This window comes from Homo sapiens, chromosome 10 (assembly GCF_000001405.40).
Source record: "Homo sapiens chromosome 10, GRCh38.p14 Primary Assembly".
In the NCBI taxonomy this organism is placed as follows: domain Eukaryota; kingdom Metazoa; phylum Chordata; class Mammalia; order Primates; family Hominidae; genus Homo; species Homo sapiens.
Genome location: NC_000010.11, coordinates 19,431,264 through 19,438,545, shown reverse-complemented (window position 1 = coordinate 19,438,545; position 7,282 = coordinate 19,431,264). Strand labels below are relative to the sequence as shown.

The 7,282-nt window shown below is 33.5% G+C and overlaps 1 protein-coding gene across 10 annotated transcripts in view; it reads right to left on the bottom strand.

Moving 5' to 3' along the window:
* The window catches only part of MALRD1 (MAM and LDL receptor class A domain containing 1), a 687,552-nt gene that overhangs the window by 295,933 nt on the left and 384,337 nt on the right, over nt 1-7,282 (bottom strand). The gene's annotated exons all lie outside the window — the stretch shown is intronic.

The window sequence follows — 7,282 nt, the reverse complement described above, 5'->3', positions numbered from 1 at the left end:
TACTATGTGATCCATCAATTACGTTTCTGGGTAAGTAATTGAAGGCAGAGACTTGAAGAGATATAGTTGTAAGCCCATGTTAATAACAACATTATTTGCAATAGCAAAATATGGAAGCAATCTACATGTGTATCCATGAATGAATGGATATGTGGTACATATAATCCATTATGTAATGTGGTATATACATAAAATGGAATATTATTCAGCCTTAAAAAGCCAATTCTGACACATGTTACAACATGTGTGTACTTTGAGGACATTTTTATATTTGAGGACATATTTATATTTCTATTGTGCAGAGTAGGGTAGTGACGAAAAGACAAATACTCCATGATTCCACTTATATAAGACACCTAGAGTAAAAAAAGAAACACAGAGACAGAAAGTGAAATGGTGGTTTTTAAGGGTTGGGGGAGGGAAGAAAGAAGAGTTAGAGTGTAATGGGTACAGAATTTCAGTTTTGCAAGATGAAAAGAGCTCTTAAATAGACTTTACCACAATTTAAAATAAAAAAATCTAAAACTCACGGCAGGGACTTCTACCAAGGCATATTTAATAGCAGAGAAAGACACGTTCTCAAAAAGAAACTACCAAAAATTGTAAGGAAGGACTTGGAATGGGGCAATTTGAGGATGTAAAGAACTGGGTCTATTAAGACAAAATTATTTCAGAAAAAAAGCTTAAATGAATAATAGAATTGAGATTTCTAGAAGCCAAATATGTGATCTGAAATAAGTGAGGTTATCTCAAAATACAGCATGTATTACTGTATCGATGGGCCTCTAGGCTCTGAAGGTAGACTGCCAGGTCTAAAATTAAGCTCAGCCCTTATCAGCAGCTAGCATTAGTATATAACATTAGTTGTTGATGTTATATTCAAATAAAATTTATTATTAACACTAGTAAGCAAAATGCAAAAAATGAATATTGTGAGTGAAAAGACAAGCAATGTGAATGGATTCAGGAAATCTAGATCCAAAGGTGAGTTCCAGAGAGAAACAGATTGAGGAGAAACAATAACAAAAAATAATAATAATAATAAAAGACAATTTCTGGGCTGAAGAACAATTCAAAATGTTAAGATTGAAACACGTCCTGGTGACATTTCTAAACTCCAAGTTTAAGAGAAAATGTCACAAGCTTCCAGAAATTGGAAGTTATTTACTTACAAAGAAAGAAAATCATATCAGTGTCAGGGCCCTCGCAACTGAAACATTAAATATACAAAGCAGTGGAACAAACAAACAAAAACAAAGAAAACATAAATAAATAAAAAGAAGAAACAAAATAAAACGAAGAACAAAGAGACAAAACAGGTGATCTTAGGACCAATACCCAAGCCATCATATCATTTATCTGTTAACTACAAAGATTTAAGCTCTGTATTGTGGCCTTGTCCTTTTGGAGTGTTTGTCATTTTCTTCTGCTACAGAATCCTGTCTACAAAAAAATCACACTCGTTTTGCTAATATTTGTTGCACTTTCAGTGTTTGAAGAATCATTATATTCCCCCTCAAATACTCCTCCTAAATGTAATTGTCATAATATTCTAGAAAACCCAAAAGTATAGAGATGATAAAGCTATCAGTGACTGTCAGTGGTCCAGGAGTATGGGAAGATAACTGAATAGGTGAGCAACAGGGGATTTCTTTAGAGCAGTGACACTTTTCTGTATAATACTGTAATGCTAAGCTCAAGATACTAAGCATTTGTCAAAACTCATACAACTTAACAGCATGTTATGCCATTAAAAGTAAGCCATTTAAAAAGATCATTTAGGAGTTTTGAAGTATGCCAGGAAGAAATGCAGAATCTGACCAATCAATGCAAATGTATTACAAATGTATGAAAAAACCTCATAGACGGATGAGTGGAAATAAGATATTGACCTAGGAAAATGGGGAAATGAGATGGAGTCTGTAAAACTAAAGGGAAAAGGAACTGCACGTAAGCACTGTACTCTGGTTACTAAAGCTGTTTTCTACAGGGGTATAGGTCTACAATTCTGAAAGCACTATCCATGTCTACAAAAATTAAATGACTAATTAAATGGTTAGGGGATGGAACCATTTTAATGGAATGTTATATAGAAACCAGGTTTCTCACTGTTGGAGTGAAAGATTACAGTTAAGCTAATGGAGAAGACTGGAATGATCCCTGTGGTAATAGACTGTAGTTGGAAATAATATAAAATTGTATTTAGATCAATTTAGATACAGATGATTGCATATACAAATATTTATAGATATGTGTATATTCACGGATCTCTACATAGACTCAGGTCTCTTAGCTCTGTCAGCTGAGAAGCCCAGCAAGCAACACAGTGCTCAGTTGTCGCTTCTAGTATTATTCTCCAACAAAAGCACCAGTGGTCTTTGGAGAAATGGCTGATTCTAGGACTTGGTCTTGCAATCTACAAGAGCCTGGGACATCTTGTAGGGCTGAAGTCAGAAAGTGGTTAAATAAATAAATTCCCACAATAACGGGGATACATCAGGTGATACAGGTGCTGAGAGCTGTGCCCAAAGCTGGAACAACTTGAGCAACAAAACAAATAGAGTACTATTGAATTATAACCCACATTACAAGATAAATATGAATGAGCCCATACTAATATAAATAAATGGTTGAATAAAGAAATAAATGGGAGAATAGATAAATATCCCATGCTAAAGAATTCTAAATGATTTACATAGATACTCCACCCTTACGGAGGTGGACCATGATTTCTCACTCCTTGAGCGTGGGCTGCACACAGTGGATTTCTTCTGAAAAGCACAGTAAGGAAATAAGGGACAGCAACTTTCCAGGGATATGGGAAGGAACTTGACAACTTTATCAAGTCTGGTGATTAAAGTTACTATCAACCATGACCTTGCATTTTGATACTACGGACTCTTGACATGATGTGATAACAATGGGACTTCTGTGGTCTTATTCTCCAACATATTACCCCAATCTATTCATTTTAAAAAAAGCATCAGATTAAATACCAATTAATGGGCATTCTAAAAAATACCTGATCAGTATGCCTTAAAACTCTCATGATCACCAAAAACAGGAAAAGACTGGGAAACTGTCACAACCAGCAGGAGGCTAGGAAGGCCTGAGTACTACAACAGAAAATGACATTAGTCTAAAACCAAGGAAATCTGGATAAGGTATGGACTCAGTTACTAACAGCGGACAATATTGGTTCATCAATTGTGACAAATGTACTATTCTAATGTAAGATGTTAATAACAGGGGAAAATGAGTGTGAGGTATACAGGAACTCCCTGTACTATCTTTGCAATAATTACCTCAATCTGAAACTGTTCTAAAATAAGGCAGTTAATTAAATAAATTTGTAAAAGCTGCAAAGCTGCTCTCTCTATATATAAATAGGATATTATAAAATAAAATATATATTATAAAATATATTATGTATATTTTTGTATAATTCCCACATGTAATGAGAATTTATCAAATTGCATCTGACAAAGTCAGAACAATTAATAACTGTAAGAACTGTCTGACCTTTATTCATTTTTAATATAATAGAGCATAGCTTTCAATATTTTAATTAAATAAAACTTTCTTTTTGTGTCTGGTATGTCCAATAATTATTTTGTTGTTAATTTTTTTCATATTTTATCAATTAAACCTTAAGCTATGTTTAAGGCAGACCATGCAAATAATAAATAAAAAGATTCAGGACCATATAGGAATCCTTTTGAATCTAATCAACAACAAAAGAAAAATCATTTTATACATGTGTGGCCCTAATCACTGCCATGAAGACCCAGATTTATCTTTTGCCTCAGAAAAAGACTAGAACATAAAAATATTTCAAGCTACGTAGATGGTTTTCTGGTATTAAAATCCTCCATAGTTACAATAAAATATTTTTAAATATCTTTAAAAAAATGGAAAGGAGTGGCTTGAATGTAGAATAATATGTGAATCTAGATTAATATATATAATTCTTTAAATCATGTAAAATATTAAAATTTGGAAAAAATTGAGTAATAGAAAAGTTATATTCTTTAAACTGCAAACATTTTGAAATGTTTAAAGTTTATATATATGTTAATTATATTTTGAATTTTTAAAAATAAAATGAAATCATTGTAGACTATTTTAAATTTACATAAAATCTCATCTACAGAAATATCTTGCAAACAGCTATTATTCTTGGAGAAATACCTGTGTCAGTGGCTCTTGCATTTACAGAAAATTTTCTTCCCTGAGAGAATAATTATGAAGGTTAGATCAATATACACATTGGATAGATATGTGTAATTTTAGACATACATTTTATAAAATCGTTTTAAACAGACAGAATGTCCTCCCATTCTTTGCTAGAATAGTGTTCTTTAAATCTGAAATATTTATTTACTGACATTTTTCTTTGAAGATTTGGGGCAATATGTGACTCAAAGGTGAAGGAGGAATTTTAATGCAAATTATGAAGATCAAAGGAGCTGAAGAGGTAGAAAGCATACTTAGTAATCATTTTCGTTTTTACCATACCAGTCTTTCTCTGTTTTCCAGGGTTTCCAATTACAGAACCATAAACTCATTTATATTATATATGATAGACAGTGTAGTTTCTCTTTCATTCCCACAAACACATAAATATGATATAAATATCCCTGTGTGTGTGTGCGCGTGTGTGTGTGTGTGTGTTTGCCATATAACTGCTGGCAAAGGTCCTTCAAGGGTCTTCCTATGGACATAGAAAACACATTCTCACCCTGGCCATTATTTGCCCCTGTCTGTCTACACAGTGGTCACAGTTCCCATGCATGACTTTCACTGAGCCTTTGTATTCTCCACACAGGTGTTCATTTTTTTTTCTCCATGTTCAAATGATCATTTTCTGCTATGCTCATGATTGGAAGTTAATAAAGCAACATCTGACAGCTGCCTCTAGATCTTCAATATAGTTAATGGAGTTAAAAACTTTTCACAATGTCCTAAAGCATGTCCAATAAGCCATCTAACTGACATGACTGTTGACCAAAATTTGACTTATCAAGTGATCTTATGAAATTGATACCAAAATATGACACTAAGAGGCTGTCATGTTAGAAGGGCTCAGAGGCCCTCTGCCCAACTTCATTTCCTGTCATGCTTCTCCTCACTCCTGCTCCAGTCACACATTCCCTTTCAAAGAGTCTTCCAATTACCCAAGATCCCTCCCATCTCAGGACATTTACAGGAAATACTCTTTGTCTTTCCCCATTTCAACCTCCTTGATTTCTACACATTTCAGCGGAATCACGTCCTCATGGGAGCCTTCACTGACCCCCTCAACAAAGGCATGCCTCCCTGCCATACACTCTGCGAGCAGGATATACTTCTCCTTCTTAGCACTTACTATACTTATATACAGTTTTCCCTGGTATGATAACCTGATAAATATCTGTCTCTTTGATTAGATAAAAATAATATAATGATAGGCAAAATCTGATAAGGAGTACCTAACACAGTGCCCTGCACATAGTAAGTGTTCAATAAATAACTGCAAGTGGAATAGCTGTATCTATATATACATATATGTGTGCAGACGCATTACAAGTGTATTACGTAAGAGATAATGAGTGTGCATGGAATGTAAAGAATGTAATTTTAAAATGTGTTTATTATAAAGCATCCAAAGTTATTCAGTTTCCTCTTTGAAATGTTCACAGTAGCCTTTGGATATTGCAAGTTTGGGGGAGAAAGAGAAAACATATCAGGAATGCAATCATTGGAATTACAGAAAAGCAATATTTAGTGATTGGCTTTTTCTCTTCAAATATCACTTTGGAGAAGCCTTTTCAGAACTTTCAAAATGGGCTCCATTCTTATTCATGTTGAATCAACTTGCTTTTTTATAGCACCTTTCACTTCTCTTATCAAAATCATATTTGTTCATTGTCTGTCTTCCTATCACAATTTAAGATTCATGAGGACAAGCCCTTTCTCCACTTCATTCATTTCTGGATTTCCCATGCCTAAAACAGAGCATTGTGAAGGCACTAAATAAGTGTTTATTTAATCAATTAATTTCAACTGAATGAATTAAGGCATTTCATGGAACTGTAACCACTGGCTAAAAGTTGACTCAAAACTTCCCTATCCAACTAATAGATTTCAGATTCTTTCTCTGATATAGGTAAAAAATAATCTTAATTAGTTTAAATTGCATAACTAAATTGCACAAATGTAAAATAAACATTTCAAAATTCACCAAAGGGTGTTTTTCCTAAACAGTGAATTGTTTCATTTACATAGGTGATATTCCTGAGGCATACTATCATTGTTCTCAATCTTACGTAACACAAAAAAGAGTAAGCATTGTCTATAACAGACAATAGCCAATGTTGCTCATTGCTCTAACAAAGTTATATTCAGAATGACTCATGCCAGGTCCTTACTATACTCTCTGTATAGAAAAGGCTCACTAACCTAATTAAAACCCCAATCCATGACATTCAAGATGATTTCCCACTTAGTGGTTGATGGCTGATTTTCACTGTCTTTCACACTATATTTGGTTCCTGAAGGAGAAAAAAAAATTCATATGGTAGAACGTAGAAGAACACTGGGAAAAAAATAAAAAATGAAAAGGCCTTAGGAAGCACCTGACAGGAGGAGTAATAAGTAAAGGCAGCAAGGTCAAAAGCAACGTGTCAGTTATGAATGATTGTATCTGTCCCGTGGCACATTGTCGTTCATGAAGGTTGATAACCATTCAATGCAAACAGAAGAACAGTACTTTATGGCAAAATTATTGGACATAACTCAGCTCACTTGTCTTCCCTGAGGGGTGGGGAATAATGAGAGAGAAAATAAAACAAATGTATGCATGTGAAACAGCAACTGTGTATAAAGGAACAACAAATTCCAAGCCAAGATGCTTGTACCAATTTCTCTTCCCAGAGAACACTTGCATACATTGGGTATAAATGAATAAAAGTCTTTTGAGGAGTGCTAAAAGCAAAATGTTCAACGTGAAATTTTCTGAAAACCAATACTATCTAACAGTACATAAAAATAAAATATAGAAATATGTTACTACTCATAAAAGTCTATACTGTATACATATAAGGGAATCGGATAATTTTCTGCTTGAATAAATTGCTGGATTCTCCAAAATAGAAAAGCTATTTTGTATTTCCTTAACAATATACAAGTCAAAATACCCAAACTTTTACTCTCAAACTATACTAATGAATTAGAAAGATATACTGAAAAAAAAGAAGTATAAACCTAAAAAATGAACCTTACGCTAAAACAACAAAGCATT